Source organism: Homo sapiens, chromosome 22 (assembly GCF_000001405.40).
Source record: "Homo sapiens chromosome 22, GRCh38.p14 Primary Assembly".
Classification (NCBI taxonomy): Eukaryota; Metazoa; Chordata; class Mammalia; order Primates; family Hominidae; genus Homo; species Homo sapiens.
In genome coordinates, this window is record NC_000022.11 from 45054416 (window position 1) to 45076750 (window position 22335).

Sequence of the window (22335 nt, forward strand, 5' to 3'; positions counted from 1 at the left end):
GGGTCATCCTAGGAGTGCTGGAAGCTGCTGTAGGCCAGGCATACACACACGACACATCCAGACAGAGAAGGGGGCACAGAGTGAAGCTGGGAGAGGAGAGCCCAGAACAGTAGCTGTCCCACGACTTCCCACACAGAAGCGCTCCGCTAAGGAGCTGGTTCTTTTTTTACATATATAATAAACAATATTAAAGACCAATACATAAATAAGTGGGAGTGAACAGGTTAAAGGTAATTAATATCAAAATTAAGATCTTTCTTTCTTTCTCTCTCTCTTTCTCTTGCTTTTTCCGTTCGTCACACGCAGGCTGGACCGTGGCAAAAAATTAACCAAAAGGTCAACTTCAGTGTGAAGGAAGGAGCATTAGGAGAACAGAGAAAGGAATAAAGAAAAACAGCAGCAAATTACTCTTAGTACTGTGGAAACAAACAGAAATTGGGCTTAGAAAAAAAAAAAAACAGAGGAAGCCGGGCGCGGTGGCTCACGCCTGTAATCCCAGCACTTTGGGAGGCTGAGGCAGGTGGATCATGAGGTCAGGAAATCGAGACCATCCTGGCTAACACGGTGAAACCCCGTCTCTAATAAAAATACAAAAAATTAGCCGGGCGTGGTGGTGGGTGCCTGTAGTCCCAGCTACTCGGGAGGCTGAGGGAGGAGAATGGCGTGAACCCAGGAGGCGGAGCTTGCAGTGAGCCAAGATCGCGCCACTGCACTCCATCCTGGGAGACAGAGTGAGACTCCGTCTCAAAAAAAAAAAAAACAAAACAAACAAAAAAAAAAACAGAGGAAGAAGGTCCAAATAGTCCCAGGTACTCGGGAGTCCGAGATAGGAAGAACATTTGGGCAACACCGGGGAGACTGAGGCTGCAGCGAATCATGATCACATTCCTCTGCTGGACCTGAATGGTCAGGAACATGTTCTTAAGCAGAAAAGAGCCACGATGTCTCTGCATTCCAAATCTAGGGATTCTGATTCAACAAGTCCAGATCACTCTATACACCTGGTTGTGATGACCCAAGACTCTAACCTGGACCCTCATGCAGTGAGTATTACCACAACCCAGGTCACATTTACTGAGCGGGAGTGGGGGCTTCCTGAGCAAATCCCAGGGAACTTTGGAGTCTGCACAGCTCACCGTGCTGCTGTGCTCCGGGAGGGTGTTGTCAAAGGGTTCTAAGAGGAAAATCAGAAACGTTTTGGCAACCTGACTGGAACCCTAAACCTCCCCCAAGCCCCCCACCCCCCATGCTAGCATCTCCTTTGTGCCGCAGTCTCTCCAAACGGCATTTGCTTCTCCTCTCTCCCCTACCGCCCTTTTGCCACATCAAACCTTAGATGCTGGAGTCCTTGAGTTAAGACCAGCGACTTTGACATGTTTAAAAGGAAATGAAACTGGTTTAAATAACACAGTTCTGGGTTTTATGAAGATCGTGCACTAAAGTACATAGCACAGATTAGTCCTCCCAGCTTGCAGGAAAAATAAAAACACCCCAGGGTCTCTGCTTTGCCAGTTCCCGACAGAGGAGCGAAGGGAGGGTAAAGGACGTTGCGAGTTCAATGTAAAAGGCAAGGAGAAGACAGCTGACGGGGCTTTGCGGATGCACGAAGAAGTGGGAGGATGTCCGGATCCTCTTTGGAATACAAACCCTGTCATCGTCCATGCCCCGAAGTTGCTGGAGCTGCAAAGGCCTCAGTCCAACGAGGACTGAGACGCTGCTGGCCTCGAAAGGAGATCTCAGCCACCCCAGGCTGAGCCCACCCGTTTGGGCCCTGAGCTGAGCTTCCAGCACCTCTCCAAGCTCCTGGCTCCTTACCACGCCCCCAGCTTTCCCCAATGTCCCCCTCCTGCCTAACTCACCAGGCCTCCCAACCTCTTCCCGAACACCCCACCAGTGCTCACTCCTCTTCCCTTCTCCTGCCAATCCAACCGCCATCTGCCCTGTCTGGCCCAAGTCACACCTCACTTGCTCAGTAACATGCTCCTGTATCCTCCCAGGAATTGGGAAGGAAAAGGACAATGGTGACCAGTAACTACACATTGTTGATCCTCACAGACCTGGAGAGAAGTGAAGTCACATGGGTGGATGCCCACCACGAGGACCACCCAGCCATGGCCAGGGAGGCAGGTCTCAGAACACGCTCACCGGGCCTCAGGGGACTCACCCTCAGGGGACCACCATAAGCATGTGAGCCAGGAGGGCCACCACACCAGCATCCTACAAATGTAACAACATACAAAGTCGTCACCCAGCCAAGAGCCTGGCTTAATCCACGTATTGACTTGAACCCGGCACCTCTGCATGCTGGGCACACACACATCCACACAGGTGAGCACAGTCGTGTGCACCTGCACGTTACACAGGTGAACTTTTCTCATCCAGTCCTGAGGTTTCCACTGCATCTTAAACACTTAGCCGAGGTGTGTCAGGACCAGCAATGTTGTCTTTGCGGCCCTTTGATGGTCCCCTTTGCAGTCAGTCATCCCAGCCATCAAATAATTGAACACCTGAGATTCCTTTCAGCAAATCATAGCCATTGGTAGATGCACAAATATTTAAAAAAAAAAAAAAAAAGGCCAGGCGCGGTGGCTCATGCCTGTAATCCCAGCACTTTGGGAGGCCGAGGCGGGTGGATCACGAGGTCAGGAGATCGAGACCATCCTGGCTAACACGGTGAAACCCTGCCTCTACTAAAAATACAAAAAATTAGCCAGGCATGGTGGTGGGCGCCTGTAGTCCCAGCTACGTGGGAGGCTGAGGCAGGAGAATGGCGTGAACCCCAGGGAGCGGAGCCTGCAGTGAGCCAAGATCACGCCCCTGCACTCCAGCCTGGGCGACAGCGAGACTCCGTCTCAAAACAAACAAACAAACAAAAAACATGCTGGGCACAGTGGCTCACGCCTGTAATCTCAGCACTTTTGGAAGGCCGAGGCGGGCAGATTGCTTGGGTCCAGGAGTTCAAGACCAGCCCGGGCCTGGGCGACATGGCAAAATCCCATCTCTGCAAAATAATAAAAAATTAGCCAGGTGTGGTGGCACACACGTGTAGTCCCAGCTACTTGGGAGGCTGAGGCAGGAGGATCACTTGAGCCCAGGAGGTTGAGGCTGCAATGAACTTTGATCGCACCACTGCCCTCCAGCCTGGGTGACAGAGTGAGACCCTGTCTCAAAAAAAAAAAAAAAAAAGCAAAACTATGAATGATTCCAGGCTATCAGAATCTACTAGGACTTAGCCTTGGGGCCTGCGTGTGCCTGGCCATAGCCACCTATTCGCTGTCATGGAGACATCTCACAGTCACCCGGTGGACACCCCAGCAATCCAACGAGAGGGTGCGAGGAGGCTCCCCCAACGTCCAGCCTCTGTGGCACCTGCTAAGCACTAACTAATCATGTTTGATAGCAACCATCTTATGTAAAGACTTTCCGGCTGGGTGCGGTGGCTCACGCCTGTAACCCCAGCACTTTGGGAGGCCAAGGCGGGCGGATCATGAGGTCAGGAGATTGAGACCATCCTGGATAACACGGTGAAACCCCGCCTCTACTAAAAATACAAAAAAATAGCTGGGTGTGGTGGCGGGCGCCTGTAGTCCCAGCTACTCACAAGACTGAGGCAAGAGAATGGCGTGAACCCGGGAGGCAGAGTTTGCAGTGAGCTGAGATCACGCCACTGCGCTCCAGTCTGGGCGACCGAGAGAGACTCCGTCTCAAAAAAAAAAAAAAAAAAAAAAAAACACTTTCCATGTCCCCATAACACTACACAGATGGAGAGATGAGCCACACGAGGTGCAGAATCCAAGCACCGAAGGGGTTCAGCAGCTACCCAGGGCCACACAGCTAATGAGTGAGTGACAAACCCAGGAGTCCAACTTTGGAGTCTCCAACCCCTCAAGCCCTCTGCTTTTCTGCCCTTTTTGTCATTATTCAAGATGCTTCACTGGGAAGGGGAGAGGGGGGAAGAGGGGGAGAAGAAAAGCGTAATGGAAACCACATGGTATTGGTGGGGGCCACTCAAGAATAGTGCTTCACGGTTACAGGACACATAAAACAGCAGAAACCTTCTGCAGCTGCATACTGCCACGGAAATCAAACTGGCAGAAACACAATTCTCCTTATCTCCTAAAGAAATTATTTGGAGGGCTGGCCCCAGGGAAATTCAGGCAAAGAAATAAAAGGGGAAAATGAAGGCAGACGTAAACTTGCTGAATTTATCATTGTGTCATGCTGGAAGCTGAGGGAAGTGTCATATTTATATGACTGAGTTATAAGCTGTGGTTTTTATTAACCAGTGAAAAACACACTGAGATCAGAAATGGTGTCTATGAAACAATTCTTGCATATGGGCCTTGAAAAATAATATAATGACAAACAGACAAAGAATCTGCTGATGAAAACTAACTCATATACGTAAAATAACAAGGTTAGAAATGTCTCTTTCTTCATATGAATGGAATGACGTAAAGTCCTTTTTTAAAGAACAAATGTTTTCTAAAATCAAAAGAGATTTTTCTCTTCTGGAAGTTTTAACACAGGAGATTCAGAAGCGAATGCAGGGGACAATAATGAAATGAAAGAAATGATAATGACGAAAGAGACAGAGGCACACATTCTAAAGATCAAGCAAGAGGCCAGGTGCGGTGGCTCACGCCTGTAATCCCAGCACTTTGGGAGGCCGAGGCAGGCTGATCACCTGAGGTCAGGAGTTCGAGACCAGGCTGGCCAACTTGGCGAAACCCTGTCTCTACTAAAAATACAAAAATTAGCCTGGCATGGTGGTGCGCACCTGTAATCCCAGCTACTCAGGAGGCTGAGGGAGAATCGCTTGAACACAAGAGGGGAAGTTGCAGTGAGCCGAGATCACGCCACTGCACTCTAGCCTGGGCGATAAGAGTGAAAATTCTGTCAAAAAAAAAAAAAAAATCAAGGCAGGGGAGAATCAGGGGATGGGGAACCTCCTCTCTAGCTCTGGTGGTTGAAAGGCAGCTGCAGGCTCCCCAGTCTGGAATCTCTAAGGCTCTCATGGGACTCTGCCAGTGCCCATGGTCTTCTGAGCCTTGCCTTCTTCCAGCATCTGGCAGCTGCTGTATTCTTGCTCCACCAACAGCTGCTGTCCCGGCTCCGCCGCAACTTCCCTGCCCAGAGATATGGGAACTAAAGGGATAGGGCAGAGGAGATGGTTGCAGACCTGAAGCCCAATGGCCCGAATCCCAGCTCTAAGGCTTTCTCTGAGAGCCAGGGTGCATCACACCCTTGCACGGGCCTCAGTTTCCCTGCACCTGCCTTACAGCATTGTGGGAAGTATTCAATGTACTTCAAAGTGCTGTCATCCCAGCACTTTGGGAGGCAGAGGCAGGTGGATGACCTGAGGTCAGGAGTTCGAGACCAGCCTGGCCAACATGGCGAAACCCCATCTTTACTAAAAATACAAAAATTAGCTGGGCATGGTGGTGTGCACCTGTAATCCCAACTACTCGGGAGGCTGAGGCAGGAGAATTGCTTGAAGCCCAGAGGCGGAGGTTGTAGTGAGCCAAGATCATGCCACTGCACTCCAGCCTGGGCAATAGAGCAAGACTCTGTCTCAAAAAAAAAAAAAAAAAAAAAAAAAAGTTATTTCCTATGCTGTGCCTAAAATGGCACCTGACACTTAAGAAGAGCTCAAAAACTATTAGCAGCCACAATCGTCAGTTTATTCACTTTTGAACAGGTGTTGACATTTACATTCTTTAAAAACAGAAGAGCAAATGAGGGCTGAGAGGGTGAAGCCCTGCTCCACCCGTAGGCAGCCACAGTTCCGACTTTCCCTGAGTCCTCCCAGAGCGCTTCAATGTGTGTACATGCAACGGACGTCAAGTCCTTCTTTTATGAAACAGTAATATACCCGTATTCACTTTCTGTTCTTGTGTAAGAAATCACGACGTAGCACACTTAGCAGCTTCAAATCACGCCCATCAATGGTCTCACAGTTTCTGTGGGTGTGGACTCCAGCACAGCTTAGCAGGGCCTCTGCTCAGGAGTCGCCGGGTGTCATGGGGGCCCTGTAGTCTCCTCTGGAGCTCGAGGTCCCCGTCCAGGCCCAGTTAGGTGTGGGGAGATTTAGCTCCCAGCAATTATAGGCCTGAGGCCCTCGGCTCCTTGCTGGTATCTGCCAGAGGCTGCTCCCAGAAACTAAAGGCCCCTGAATTTTGTTTTTGTTTTTTTTATTTGTTGAGACAGAGTCTCTCTCGCTCTGTCGCCCAGGCTGGAGTGCAGTGGCACGATCTCGGCTCACTGCAACCTCCGCCTCCCGGGTTCAAGCAATTCTCCTGCCTCAGCCTCCCAAGTAGCTGAGATTGCAGGTGCACACCACAACACCTGGCGAATTTTTGTATTTTTAGTAGAGATGGGGTTTCACCATGTTGGCCTGGCTGGTCTTGAACTCCAGACCTCAAGTGATCCACCTGCCTCGGCCTCCCAAAGTGCTGGGATTACAGGCATGAGCCAATGTTCCCGGCCTATATTTTTATTTTAATTTAGAAAAATAATTGTTTGCAGTACTTTTCTGATTTTGCTCCCCATAAGTCAGCATTCCCTGACCCGGGAACCTCACGTCAATGGAATAATACCATATGGGTTTTTGGGTCTGGCTTCTTCAGCTCAGCATAACCTCTAGAAGATTCATCCATGTGGTTTTGAGTATATTTAGATCTTTTTTTAATTGTGATAAAATTGCATGACCTGTTGGGTATAAATTTCTGTAATCCCATGGTTCTGTGAATCTAATACCAACAGACCCTCGGGAGTGTAAATTTCGAAGCCCTCAACGCTGTACCAATTGTCAACGGGAAATCCATAATCAAAGCGCTCTAAGACTCTCAAAATCTAGACCTCCAGATCAAACTCATTCATACCAAAAAAGTCCAGCATCCAAGAATGGCCCACTCCACCACTCGCTGGGTTGTCCTAGTCGAAGACCCAAGAAGGAGTAACCCCTCCCCTCCCACAGCCAGCTGCTCCCCAAGACCCTGAGAGTCTAGCGTCCTCATCTACATCCGTCCCATCATGTTGACCCCTCCGCCAGTGCCTTGGCTCCAGCGCTACCACCCCTCCCCCACACAGTCAGCAGCCATACCTCAGAGCCCCCCTGGCCTCCGGGGCTCCTCCACTGCCTCCCACAGGCCAGGCAGGTGTGGTTCCAGCCCGTCAGCCAGAAGCAGGACCAGAGAGGCATGTACAGGAGCCAGCTTTGTGGTGGGATCACTTATCTCACCTGTAAAATGGAAAAATAATATCTTCCCTAATTACCTTGACAAAGAAATGATAATGTAGGAAAATTCAATGGCCCCAAAGGGCTTTCACGAAGCATCAGAAGAAACAGATCCTATCATCCACTGACCCAACCCATTCATTTAAAACATGTTTGCCCTGTACTTGTAGGGGGGCCAGGCCCTGTGCTAGACACCCAGGGATTCCCCGAGAAGACAGCCCCTGACCCGGAGCTGGGGAATCCTGTGGTGGCCCAGAGGAAGAACCAAGGATCCTTGCCTGGTGGGGAGGGTGGGTGGCCAGGGAATGTTCCGTGAAGGTGGGGATTTGAGATGAGCTTGGAGACCATGACTGGGGGTCTCCAGGCTTGGAGAGAAATGGATGATGGAGAGAACACCAGTGAGGCAAACGCCGTGGGATGGAGGGTGCTGGAGGGAGGGCAGAGGAGGACAAGTGGAGGAAACAGAGAACGCCGCGGCTTATTCCCACCATGGACAAGCGGGCCACAGTGGAGACAGTGTGGGGCCACAGTGTGAGGTGCTCTCGAGACAGCACCGGGGAGTGGGGCAGAGCAGAGCTGGCTGGCTGTGGGGCTGGGGCTGGGGAGCCAGGCACAGGGAGCTCAGAAGGGTCTCATGCGAGTGACTGAGGGGGTCTGAGCTGCACCGACGGAAGCTTTCTCAGCGCTCAACCAGACTGCCCAGGGATCCCACAGGAGGGGAGGGGAGGGGAGAGGGAAGAGCCAGGAGGGCTGAGGACAGGCACTTAGGTGGGTGGCCATGGGCCGGGACCTCAAGGGGAGGCCTTGGGTGAGATGACCCCCAAGGATTTAGATTCTTTATTCCTTGATTTTGTTGTTGCTGTTAGAAACAGGCTCTGGAGTACAGTAGTGTGATCATGGCTCACTGTAGACTCTACCTCCCAGGCTCAAGTGATGCTTCTGCCTCAGCCTCCTGAGTAGCTAGGACTATGGGCCTGGGCCACCACACCTGGCTCATTTTATCTTTTATTTTTGTAGAGACGGGGGTTTTGTTATGCATAGCATAGCAATATGAAAGTCAAAACAACCTAGAAGATCCTGGGTCCATTACTGGCCAAATAAATCCAAAATAAACAAATTCATACCTCTATCAATTACATAGTGGAGGCCACAGTATTGTAGGGGAAGGCCTGTCTTTTTCTCTCTGTCATGCACACACACACACATACACACACACATGCTCTAACACAACTCCGCTACCTTCAGAGAGCAGCCTGCCTTTTCCCTTTCATGGTGCCGGCTCCCTTGTGCGCAAGCTAAATGAGCTTTCTCTTTCTCTTTGCTGCTGTGTCTGCTGACCTCTCTTGAATTTTATTTTATTTTATTTTATTTTATTTTATTTTATTTTATTTTATTTTATTTTTTGAGACAGAGTCTCACTCTGTCACCCAGGCTGGAGTGTAGTGGTGCAATCTCAGCTCACTGCAACCTCCGCACCCTGGGTTCAAGCGATTCTCCTGCCTCAGCCTCCCTACTAGCTGGGATTACAGCCACACACCACCAGAGCTGGCTAATTTCCTTTTTTTTTTTTTTTTTTTTTTTGAGATGGAGTTTCGCTCTTGTCGCCCAGGCTGGAGTGCAATGGCGTGATCTAGGCTCACCACAACCTCCGCCTCCCGCGTTCAAGCAATTCTCCTGCCTCAGCCTCCTAAATTGCTGGGATTACAGGCATGCGCCACCACGCCCCACTAATTTTGTATTTTTAGTAGAGATAGGGTTTCTCCATGTTGGTCAGGCTGGTCTTGGACTCCTGACCTCAAATGATCTGCCTTCCTTGGCCTCCCAAATGCTACAATTACAGGCGTGAACCACCATGCCCAGCCACCTCTCTTGATTTCTATCCTGGGAGATTGCAAGAGCCCAATGCACCAATAACAGAGCCGTCGGCAAACCTCTTCACCTGCACGTCCAGCTCCACCACCATCCTGCCAGGTCCTCTCCACTCCTGTCTGATTGAGAATCTTATTGTCTCCCTACCACCCCTGACAAGATCTGCCTCCTGTTGGATTGTTCTAGTTAACAGCAGGGCTGGCTTTGCAGGCTCACTACTAATCATGAGGACCTTAAAATTATCCTGTTAACTAAAAATAAACGACAACAAAAAAAGGTCTTACAAAAATAGGTCAGTGTTTGGGGGCTCAGCCCAAATCTTCTGGGTCTTCTCCAGGAGGAAGACTAGGTTGCAGGGTGGTCTTGAGGATGGGTCTCAGTTTTCCCATCCCTGTATTGGGAGGTAATAATCTCTGCCTGCCTTACCCCTGAATATGAGGGTGGACCAAAGGCCTTCTGCCTCTTCTTCCAACTCTGAGGATGCCGGGCTCTGAATCATATATTTACAACTTTTCAATAACTTATGTGACCCTTTATGACGAAGGCCCACGCTGGTCAGGTTGCTGTATACTTCCACATCCCCCGCCTAACTTTTATTGATAGGAGTTCCTTTGATTTTCCATAAAGATAGTGATTGATGCCAAAGTCAGTGATTGCCAGGGAGTCCCTGTCGGGGAGGAGGGACCAAAGGACAGCTGGCTCAGCTCCCCTGAGCTGGGGAGGTAGCGGCCCCGATTCCCACTCGTCAGATGAGACCTTGAGAAGGACGGAAGGTCACAGTGATAAAGGGATGCTGTCCAGAGTAACTGATGCACAGCACTGCTCTGCACAGAATTTCATGCCCATGCTGGATGGCAGCCCGGGCGGGGAGGATCTCCCCTTTAAAAATGAGGACCCTGGGGTTGACAGGTTTTAAGTGGCATATCATAAAGCGTTCCTGCCACATCACCCCTGGGGTGTGAGGTTGGGCCTGACTCCATAGAACTGAATGGGCTTTAGCCACAGAGACCCGTTCAGGAATCTATTTGTCTGTGGACAGTGGATAAAGATGGTCATGAGCAACACTGATTTCAAGGGAAACTTTGTCTCTGGCCACAAATAAACGGTTGCTGCTTCGTTTGGCTCACAGACTGCATTGCCCTGGGCCAATGTTTCGTTTTTGTTTTTTTTTTGTGGAAAGTGGGGGAGGTGGGTGGTGACATTTTCAGCTGCTGTTTTCATGCGTCATTCTTAGTCACTGTGGGCAGCTCAGAAGCCAGCACGAGCCTTCCCACCACCTGGGGCTGGGGGTTCCCAATTTCATGGTGCTGACGCTACCTGCAGAAGAAAGTGACAAACACGTGTCCCTCCTCCAGATCCCATGAAGAGGGGGCCATACGGCCCCTCCTAAATTAAAGACAGACACACGTAGGGTAGGCTCAGTGGCAGAGCCAACCCCGTCGTGACACCTGACCTCTTTGGAGATTATGATCTAGCTCCTTGCACCATCTGGAACATTCCCAATGCTAGAATAGCAAAGATGGGCCCTGAACATTCAAAATAGATGCCGAGAACCCAAACCTGGAGCTTCATGCCTATGCCTCATGAGCAAGCCCCTCGGGGCCCTACTCCAAGGCATTTGCTTTTGTTTTAGATATAACTTAACCCCGAGTCTCTCACAAATGACACATTCAAAGCAACAAATTCCTAATGTGTTACCCCTGCACACTTGCTGAAGAAAATATTAAATCATCCAGTGGGTTATTATTATTATTGAGATGGAGTCTCGCTCTGTCACCCAGGCTGGAGTACAGTGGCGTGATCTCGGCTCACTGCAAGCTCCGCCTCCCGGGTTCACACCATTCTCCTGCCTCAGCCTCCTGAGTAGCTGGGACTACAGGCGCCCGCCACCACGCACAGCTAATTTTTTTTTTGTATTTTTAGTAGAGACAGGGTTTCCTCGTGTTAGCCAGGATGGTCTCAATCTCCTGACCTCGTGATCCGCCCGCCTCAGCCTCCCAAAGTGCTGGGGTTACAGGCGTGAGCCACCGCACCGGGCCTCCAGTGGGTAATCATTGTAGATGAATCTTAAGGTACCTTCCAACCCCAGTATTCCAAATTTTCAGTCTTCAGCAGAGATCATGATGAAAGAAATGACATAAAGGATGTAGTTCCAGATTTCATTTCCCAACACCAAGCAAGCATTTCCACAAATATTATTTTAGTTTCAGGAGCATATAAGCTGCTTTATGGTATCTCTCCCTGTTTTTCCTTTTTTTTCAGAGGGGCAGCTTGGCTCCGTGAAAGGAGAGCCCTGGACTGAGGTGCCCCATGGGATGGATGCGGCGTGACTTTGTAGATGGCACCGCACTGTGGTGGTTTGTCTTCTCTCCTGTGGCGTCGAGATCCACTCACTCACCAGCATTTATTGAGCAATTTCTGTGTGTCGGGAGCCATTCTAGACCCCAAGGGGATTGGTGAGAAACAGGACAGACATGCTCTCTGCCTCACTGAGTGTCTTTTTCCTCTAGAAAGATGATGATGAGGCCAGGCATGGTGGCTCACGCCTGTAATCCCAACAGTTTGGGAGGTGTGGTGGCAAGCACCTGTGGTCCCAGCTACCTGAGAGGCTGAGGCAGGAGAATCGCTTGAACCCGGGAGGCGGAGCTTGCAGTGAGCCAAGATCATGCACTGCACTCCAGCCTGGGCGACAAGAGTGAAACTCCGTTTCAAAAAAGAAGGAGGAGGAGAAGAGACTACAGGCACCCACCACAACGCCTGGCTAATTTCTTTGTATTTGTAGTAGAGGCGGGGTTTCACCATGTTGGCCAGGCTGGTCTCGAACTGCTGACCTCGGGTGATCCGCCTGCTTCGGCCTCCCAAAGTGCAAGACGGTAAATCTTATATGTCTTTTACCACAGTAAAAAATTTGGGCCTGGGTGACAGAGTGAGACCCTGTCTCCAAAACCAACATTTTTTTGAGAAGCGTATTATACTCTGGTGAGGAGACAGGCCACCATGAAGGGGAATAGTGCAGGAAGCAAGTCTGGTTCCTTCCAGCAAGTTCCATCTGGATCAGCTCATGCCCTAGCCCCGACATGAAAGGCTTAGGTGTGGTGTCTCCTGCACTCACTCCCCCAGGCTTCCCAACTCACAGTGCCCCCTCCTCCCCACTTAGCTGGTACCCCAGGGGAGTACCCTGTGTTGGGTGCTAATGGTTCCAGGGTTACAGAGGAGAATCAGGAGCTTATGGCTACATGTGTGGGCGGCAGGGAAGGTGTTGGCTTTGACCCATGCAATGAGCTGGGAAGGCATAAGAAGGCACTTTCCCAAATACATCTGCTTTCCAACTCCCAAACTTCCATCATTGGAGAATTTCTCCCTGTCCCTGTTAAAATGCAGATGCTCCTAAAAGGAACCATCTACAGTCACCAATTTCCAGAGGCAGTTTATTATTTCTCTTTTCAGCAAGACTGCTCTCTTTGAAACTAGTTCCTTAAAGGGAAGGAGGGTGTGGAGAGGGAACACAGGCATGTGATGCTGTGGGGAAGCGGGAGCCCTGCTCTGGCTCAGGCCTTCAGCAGCCCCGTTAAAAAACAGTGCACAGGCCAGGTGCAGTGGCTCATGCCTGTAATTCCAGCACTTTGGAAGGCCAACTAAGGCAGGCGGATCACCTGAGGTCAGGAGTTCAAGACCAGCCTGGCCAACATGGTGAAACCCCGTCTCTACTAAAAAGACAAAAATCAGCCAGGTGTGGTGGCGTGCATCTGTAACCCCAGCTTCTAGAGAGGCTGAGGCAAGAGAATTGCTTGAACCCAGGAGGTGGAGGTTGCAGTGAGCCAAGATCTTGCCACTACAATCCAACTTGGGTGACAGAGCAAGACTCTGTCTCAAAACAAACAAACAAACAAAAACAGTGCACAGGCCGGGCGCAGTGACTCACACCTGTAATCCCACTGCACTCCAACCCAGGTGACAGAGTGAGACTCTGTCTCAAAAAAAAAAAAGACCAAAAAAACCACAAACAAACAAAAACCAGTGCACCAACCTCCTGATGGGCTGCCTAGCTCCAGTCTCTTCCCAGCTAATCTGTTCTCCAGGCCATTCCCAGACTTTTTCAAAATATTACTTTATTTTTCATTATTATAAAAGTTATATGGGCTCATTAAAATAAATTCAAATAATACTAAAAAAGAAACGATATTACTCAAAATTCAACTTCTTCCAGACTTTTTAATAATCATTCATATATAGATATTGTACCAATTAGCAATTGCCACAAAAAAAAACCTATGTAACAAACCATCCTAGAACTTAGTGGCTTCAAACAATCATGTGTTTTTATGAGCTGCAGATTGTCATAGTTTGGCTGACGGAGGCTGGGCTCAGTGGATGCCTCTGCTGATCTTGGCTGGGCTTACTCATTCCTTTGGGAATTGGCTTAGGGTTGGCTGATTGGGGCTGGTCTTGGCTGGTGACTTAATTCTGCATATCCCTCATCCACCTCCTGAGACCAGTGGGTAGCATAAGAATTTTCTTCTCAACAGCAAAAGAGACCAACTGAAACCACTCCCAGAACTGGTACATCCATCACTTCTGTCTCATCCTATGGATAAAGTAAATAATGTGGCTAACCCCATGTATTGGTCCATTTTCATACTACTATGAAAAAAATACCTGAGACTGGGCAATTTATAAAGAAAAAGAGGTTTAATGGACTTATACTTCCACATGGCTGAGGAGGCCTCACAATCATGGTGGAAGGTGAAGGAGGAGCAAAGACATGTCTTACACGGCAGCAGGCAAGAGGGCGTGTGCAGGGGAGCTGCCCTTTATAAAACCATCAGATCTCTGGAGTCTTATTCACTAATCACAAGAACAGCACGGGGAAAAAACCAGTCCCGTGATTCAGTTACCTCCCACTAGGTCCCTTCCATGACATGTGGGGATTATGGGAGCTACAATTCAAGATGAGATTTGGGTGGGGACATAGCCAAACCACATCACCCAAGTCAAGAGACAAGGAAGTACACCTCACCCACAGCTGGAGGGCACTGGAGATTACAAGGAGAGGAGCAGGGATCCAGGAAAGGATGAAGACCTGGGCCAGTTATGTAATCCACCTCAGATATGGTGGATCTTTTTGAAATAAAAGCATATTCATGTTATATACACTATTTCTCAAGCTACATTTTTTTCCCACATAATGGATTGTAGACATCTTTTCAGGTCAAAAACAGTTGTTTTACATTGTTATTTTTAATGGTTGAGGAGAATTTTGATACATGGATGTGTTTTAATTTATTTAATCACAGAGTTATAGTTCATAACCTCAGGCCTGATCACATAACTGTCCAACTTACAACCTTTCAAGGGCCCAACACTGGATGAAGTCCAAATCTACTGTCTAAAAATCATGGTCCTTCTCAGTCTGATCTCAAATAGCTGTTCTTATTTCGTCTCCTCCTCACTCCTTCCCACTCATCCCTCTGAAGCTATACAGTAGGTGACACTCCATTTTTCCCCACTGTCCAGGTTAAGATAATGCCTATGACTGTAACAGATGACCCCATATCTCAGAAGCTCAACACAACAGAAATTGAGACCTCATTTCTGCTCACATAAAGGAGTATCTGTAGCAGCACGGGGAGGAGAGCTCTGCTCCAGGCAGTCATTCAGGGACACAACGGACCTTTAACAAGATCATCTCAGACATCAACATTCAACCAGCAGATGAGGGGAAAGAGAGAAGAAAGGATCTCACCAGAGGGGTCAGGCCCAGACACAGAAGTGGTATATTCCATTAGCCCACTTTCCATGAGCCATGATTCAGGAATATGCTGGAATACCTGCAAAGGAGCTGGCAAAGGTATGGGACCTGTGCTCAGCTATCCAGGCACTTTGCATGGTAAGTGCATCTGTTCATCTGCCTGGGATACCTCTCCTTCACTCCAGCTTTCAGTCTGCTCAAAGGTTTGCCATGGGAGACCCTCCCTGCTCTGGGCTGAGTCAGGGGCTCTCTCTGGGCGCCCACGGCAGATAGTCAGACACCTCCACCGGAACACCTGCTCTCCCACATTAGAATAGTGATGAGGCCGGGCACAGTGACTCATGCCTGTAATCCCAGCACTTTGGGAGGCCGAGGTGGGCAGATCATGAGGTCAGGAGATCGAGACCATCCTGGCCAACATGGTGAAACCCCATCTACTAAAATACAAAAAATTAGCCAGGTGTGGTGGCGGACACCTGTAATCCCAGCTACTCGGGAGACTGAGGCAGGGGAATCGCTTGAACCTGGGAGGCGGAGATTGCAGTGAGCTGAGATCGCGCCACTGCACTCCAGCCTGGGCAACAGAGCAAAACTCCATCTCAAAACACAACCAAAAAAAAAAAAGAAAGAAAGAAAGAAAAGAGAATACTGACTGGCCCCTGCATTTGTGTCTATCTTCCCCACAATTGGTCATTGACTCCTCCCAGGCAGAGAGGGACTGGCTCATGAGAAAGGGGCATGTGAAGTTGGCGTTGGAGGCCGGCGGTAGGCCTGGGTGAAGAGGGGCAGGTATTGCTAACCTTTTGGGTAGAGAGAGTCTATTAACTGAGTCATCCTCAACCAGCAATGTGGGGAGGATGGGGCGGGGTGGAGGTGAGTGTGTATCACTGTCTCAGGAGAAAAGTTTCCCTTGAAACACACACCCCAACCCCTGCAGCCTGATCTCTCCCCTCTGCCCTGGCCTCTGCCCTCTAAGGTTCCGGGTGGAGTGTGTTATGCAGAGAATGAGGCAGAAGCAGCTGGGGCTGAGGCTTGCCCTACCTGGACCATCCCTGCCAGCACAGAGGCTGGTTGGCTAGGGCAGGCCGAATGGTAGGGTCCTGGGGAAGATTCCAGCAGGTGGGGCCTAGCTTGTGGGGAGAAGCAACTAAGGGCCTGGGCAGGAAGCCCCTGTCCTGCCCCCAGGGCTCATGGTCTCAGTGCTGTGCCCAGGCCAAAGTCCCTCTGAACCTGGACTTCTAGAAGCAAACTTGACCAGAGAAAGGAGACAGCAGAGGGCTGGAGACACCCAGGGCCTCTGGGTCCCTGTCACTGCCCCTGCCCCATGGGGCCTGCTGAAAGCCCCTCAGGTCACCAGCACCCCACACCCAGAAGTCTTTCCCGCTCTGCAGTTTCTCAGGCCAGAGGCCTAGACGCCCCCAGGACACTGCCTTCTGCCTCACTGCCCCTCCTCGTCACTTTATACCCCCCTGCCCCAGGCTCTCCCCACCCCTGCCCTACCCCTCACCCTGGGCCAGCACTAGAGGAGGCACCCTGCCCTTGTACGGCCCTGAGGGTGAGTCCCACCTTAGATGGTACTCCTGTGTGCCTCTCGGACCTCATCGTCAGCGGTCCAGCCACCTGCAGGGCCCAGGTCCAGACCTCTGTCCGTTCCCACTCGCTCCCACCTGAGGGCTGCCCTACAGCCACCTCACCTGAGCCCTCTCTCCAAAAGCCATTGTGATGGAGTTCCCACCACCTTCAAAGCCCAGCGCTTTTCTGTTGGTTTAGGAAGAGGCCTCACCTGTGAGCCTCAGGCACACCAGCCTTCCCACCTCCTGGGCCCCATTCACCTTATCAAGCTCTTTGTACCCTCCTGACACAAGCAGCTCCCAGAGAGAACTCCTCCCTGATGCCCAGGCCAGGTCGGGACCCCTGTTGTGTGTAACCCGGGTCTGTGACCTCCTCCTGAGCATCCTCCCAGGTTGCTGTTCTCCCTCGTTTGACATTGCTGTTTGATTACTGTCTCTTCTCCTAGACTGTCAGCCCTGTGGGGACAGGCACCGTGCCTGCTGTCACTGCCCCTGGTCTCTGGCGCCTTGCAGGACACCTGGCATGTTGGCACACTAGGTATTTACTAAGAGTGCATGGATGAGGGAGGCATGGGCCAGGTAGAAGTGGAGAGAGAGGGGGTAGGGGACACAGAATGGAAGAGAAGGACCTGGAAAGGGACAGAAGAAGCGAATGAGAGCAGAACAAGGAGAGGGAGCAGGGGGCACCGGAAGGAAAGGACCGCAGCAAGGGAGAAGGTGGGAGGGCCAAGAGAGGAGGCAGGGCAGGGGTGGGGAGGCGAGAGGGGGAGGCGAGGGGGAGGTGACTTTCTGAAGATTTCATGTTCCCTTGTCCTGGTGGGCTGGGGGCAGTTGGGAATGCCAGCCTCGTGCCTGGTGGCCTCCTGGTGGCTGGGTGGGCCTCCCCTCCAGCCTCTGAGCCGATGGTCCCCCTCTGGGGAAGGTGCTCTTTGGCGAGATACGCAGGGACAGGTGGCAGTGGCAGCTGCAAAAGCCTCTTCCTGGCTGCATGGCACTGCTCAGGGCTGCCATGAAGCGGCCAAGAGGAGCAAGAGAAGAAAACCCACCCCTCTGTGGGGTGGGGGGCGGAGGCAGGGCAGGGGGGCTGCGCCTCGACTGAGCCCACCTGCAGGTGTAGTGGTTTTCACAAAAAGCACCAACCACACAGCCTCCTCTCCTGCGGAGTCAGTTCCCATTCCCAGCCAGACAGTTCCACTGATCCTTTCTTCAGTCCACTTGTCCTCAGCACCGGGTTCCAAAGGGATAGGCTGTGTTCCAAACACACAAATATCCCTAATTTCCTCCCAAGTGCTCTCGTTTTTTCTGGTGACGTCCCTAAAAAGTCTTAGTTAGGTGCTCCTCTCCTGAACACAATTATAGCCTTTTTTGCATAAATGGGAACCCTTTGGGAAGGGATCCCGTCCTTCCCTCCCACCCTCGCCCCCCGTACACACATTTATAGGAGCCGAAGGCCCTAAGCCACAAATCCTGAAAATTCCAGAGCTTCCCCCGCCCCAAATGTCGTTTCATTTATTTCTATGCGCTTGTCTCCAAAACTGCCGCAAACTGAACCTTGCCGTGTTTTGCCCGTCTCTGCTTCCCTCCTGGTCTTCCCACCTCAGTAAATGGGGCACCGCCCACCTGATTACTCACACCGGAGTCATCCCTGACGAGTCCGCCTCCTCCCCCGCCGCAGCTCCCAGAATCTCGTAACTGCCCTTCTAAATGCATCTGGAATCTGCCTGCTTCCTTCCCTCCATCCCCACGGCCGCCAGGAGACTCAGAGGAAACCAGTGCAGGTGAGGCTGTGTTTCAGGGGCTTAGACTTTCCACTAAGTCCCGAGGGTCCCCCACACCCATCCCCAGGCCTCTGCACACAGGGTCCCTTCTGTCCAAGTCGCTGTTCCTCTACCTTGGCACCAGTCTGCCCTCATCTCTCCATTTGCCCTCACATTCTACACATGGGTTTTTTTTGTTTTGTTTTGTTTGTTTGTTTTTGTTTTTTATCCTTACAGCAACCCTGGGAGGTAGGTCCTGTGAGTATCCCCATTTTGTTGGTGAGAAACCTGAGGCTGGAAGGTAAAGAAACTATGCAAGGGACACAGTAAGAGGCTGAGATGAGATTCAAAAGGCTCACTCCCAGGGCCTCTGGCTGCAAAGCCCTGAGGGCTGAGCCGCTTCCAGCCTCAGCTGGTCATTACCTGTATTTGTTCACAAATGGCCCCTGAGGTCCTACTGTGGGCCCAGCACAGTCATAGGCACTGTACAACCTGAATGCCCACCACTCCCAGAAACTCTCCCTGAGCCCCAAATCGAAATTAGGTCTCCCTGTTTCACTTCCGCATAGGACCGCACATGCTTCTCTGTCTCCTCAGCACAGCTTGTAATTGGCATTGCTCTTGTGACTCCTGGATTGTCTCCCCTCTGGACTGTAAATTCCAGGGGGGCAGGCTTTGCACAGCTGGCCCATGGCCAGATGTCTGGATGGCTGGTACACAATAGGCACAAAATGAATGAATGGGCGAGCCCATACATGCCCTGGCAGAGACCATCAGTGTGTGGAATAGATGTATTTTGACTAAAAAGTGGCCTCAGAATTATTTTTGGTAAAATGCTTTTCCCATGGAGCCGATCATAGCTGTGAGCTCCATGGTAAAAACTTCCGCGAAGGCCGGGAAATAGTGAGCGCCCTGAGTGAGCCGCTCTCAGCCACACCGCACATCAGAAGCCACTTTATCCTGTTTCGGACACCTGCTTCACACCTGGAGGGCTGGAGCCCGAGGCGTCTGGATTTTTAAAAACTCCTTGTGCTCACGTGCCCAGCCAGACCTGAGAGCCGAGGCCTTAGCCATGCAATTTGCTGCTTTGTGAATTGCAAAAGTTATCGAACCTTGCTACTGTGAATGTTTACCAGGTTGCTCAGTAAGATGCTGGGGAGACAGAGACGAAGCTCCCAGGCCTGTGGCCAAGGCTCAGAGACGTGCTACTGAGCAAGACCCGGAAAAGCTTCCCGCCCGGTCAGGGCCACTTCCCCACTGCCACTATGGCAGGCAGGAGCTGTGCTGGGGCCATCCCTGGGCTTCACGCCAGCTCCGTCACATCCCTGGTTGTGTGGCCTAACTCATCTCCTGTGGCCACTGCAACAAATGACCACAAACCTGGGGGTGTAGAACAACACAAATTAATTCTCTTACCTTTCAGGAGGTCACAAGTCCTAAAAAGGTGTCTACAGCGTTGGTTTCTTCCGGACGCTCTAGGGGAGGACCCCTTTCCAGAGACGCCCCCATTCCTTGGCTTATGGCCCCTTCCTGTCTTCAAAGCCAGTGGCCCAGCATCTTCTAATCTCTCTCTCTCTCCGGTCACATCTCCTCCTCTGACTCTGATGGTTCTGCCTCCTTTCTTCCCTTATAAGGACGCTTGCAATTATATTCGGTCCACCTGGCTAATCCAGAGTATTCTCCTCATCTCGAAATCCTTAATCACGTCTGCAAAGTCCCTTTGCCATGTCAGGTGACACACTCACAGGCTTCAGGGATTAGAGTGCAGACATCCTAGGCAGGGGCAGGGGACATTATTCTGCCAGGCTCAGTGGCCTTGCCTAGGAACTGGCCACTCCATGCCTCAGGGCCACGTCGGAAAGTCAGGGGGGATAACAGTAACAGAGGCAGTGGAAGTCATAGTATAGAAGGAAAAAGAGTGATAGAAATAGTCATGGCAATGATTATGGAGATGTGAGGATTGATTTTCTATGTAAGTCTGTAGAAGAGCATCTGACTAATAAATGTTCAAAACACATCAACTGTCAAATACATTTTATTAGTGATATCTCTAGCACTGTGCCACAGGCCCTATGAGCTGTAACAGCCTATAAAATGATTTTGAGATTAGAAACAATGTATATATGACAAAATAATTTTATTTATTTACTTTAAGATGGGGTCTCTGTGACCCAGACTAGACTGCAGTGGCACAATCACATCTCACTGCAACCTCCACCTCCTAGGCTCAGGTGATCCTCCTGCCTCAGGCTCCCAGCTGGGACTACAGGTGTGTGGCAGCATGCCTGGCTAATTTTTTAAATTATTTTTAAAGACGGGGGTCTCCTTATGTTGCCCAAGCTGGTCTCGAACTCCTGGGCTCAAGCAGTCCTACTGCCTCCACCTCCAAAGTGTTGGAATAAAAGGCATGAGCCACCATGCCCGGCTTAAAATATTTTTAAAATGGCAAAGTCAAAAGAACAATTAAATCCATTTCAAAAAGGTGTAGCTTAATAAGAAAATACAGCAGTTCTACAGAAAACAGAGCAAAGGGGCTGGACGCAGTGGCTCATGCCTGTAATCCCAGCACTTTGGGAGGCCAAAGCGGATGAATCGCCTGAGGTCAGGAGTTCAAGACCAGCCTGGCCAACATGGTGAAATACCATCTCTACTAAAAACACAAAAATTGGCCAGGCATGGTGGCTTGTGCCTGTTGTCCTAGCTACTCGGGAGGCTGAGGCAGGAAAATCGCTTGAACCTGGGAAGTGGAGGTTGCAGTAAGCCGAGATTGTGCCGCTGAACTCCAGCCTGGACGACAGAGCGAGACTCCATCTCAAAAAAATGAAAAGAAAACAGAGCAAAGGGTATGAATTTACAGAAGAGGATATCCAAGACATTAACAAGCAGAAGAGAAGACACTCAAAAGCACTGGTAATGTGAGAAATCAAATTAAAATCACAATGAAGGTTCACTTTACACATTTAGGCTGGCAGAAGTCTGAAAGCTCGGTGATGTCACAGTTACATGATGTAATACAGGAGACCTCCCTCACTCTGCTGGGAGGGTGGGCTGGGTGGCCCTTGGGAAGGGTCTCTAGGTGTGTTAGTAAGATGAAGGAAGTGCAGGACTGAGATGCAGCAGTTCCTCTCCTAACAACATCTCGCCCCAGACATTCTCACACAGGTCCCCGATGCTCACTGCAGTGCGAAGTGGGTGCCCAGCGCTGGGAGAGTGGGTCTTGGTGGACGCACACCTTGCAGGGTGGTTTGGCAGCTAGAAAAAATCAAATGAGATACACACGTAAGAACATGGGTGGCAAAGACACATCAGGGTTGGTGAAAAAGCAAGAAAATGAATGAGATAGATAACATCACATCACGAACGTAAATTAAAAACAGGGGCGTGCAAATGGCAATACCCATTTCCCAGGAACAGAAAGACTTAAACACTTGAGCATGGGTCATCTATAGGTGGGGGGTAGGGAGGTGGAAGGGAATGAATGAGTGAGTGAGTGAATTAATGAATTCACTAAAGAGAAATATTTACATCATTGTGGCGGGTGCCCGTCCACACATTGTTGCAGGCTTGATGTGCCGTAGGGAGAGCTTCCAGAAGGTGGAGCATGCAGGGAGTACCCTTTGCCTCCCTGAAGGGTGCTGTAGGCCTGTCAGGGCCTGGGATGGGGAGGGCTTGGAGAAGCAGAGAGTTTGGAAGGATCGGAATTGAGAGGATGAGGCAGAATATGTCATTGTCTTGGCAAATTGGATTGGCAAAGCCAAAGAGAAAGAAAACACAGGAGGCTCCCAAGACTGACCGCTCACGTGTCTGGAGTGCTTCAGATGAGCCAGGGGCACCTAACAGGAGTGTAAGCCCCACACGCTGCGGGACTCAGTCTCTACTCACAATAACCTTGCGAGAAAACTATTCTCTCCCCATCTCACGCCGGGGAGCATGCAGGCTGTGCTGGGGTTGGGAAGGGGTTCCACCTGGGAGGGAGGAGCCAGAAGACCAAGCAGGCCCTGCCCATTCCAGAGCCATGCAGGCCGCAGCTTATATCTGCGAGACTGTAATGTTGATAACTCAAAGGGAAGAAAACCCAGCAGAGAAGAATGCTGCAGGCTTCGAGGCTGCTTCCGCACGTGGACCAAGCAGCTGCAGTAGATTTCTCCC

At 50.6% G+C, this 22335-nt stretch overlaps 1 annotated feature.

Moving 5' to 3' along the window:
• Positions 18234 to 19433: an enhancer, noted in NCBI's record as "BRD4-independent group 4 enhancer chr22:45468530-45469729 (GRCh37/hg19 assembly coordinates)". NCBI's record gives its function as "activates an origin of replication core promoter dependent on BRD2, P300/CBP, MED14 and CDK7 cofactors, and independent of BRD4, by STARR-seq in HCT116 cells {active_cell/tissue: HCT116}" and the evidence as "EXISTENCE:reporter gene assay evidence [ECO:0000049][PMID:35650434]".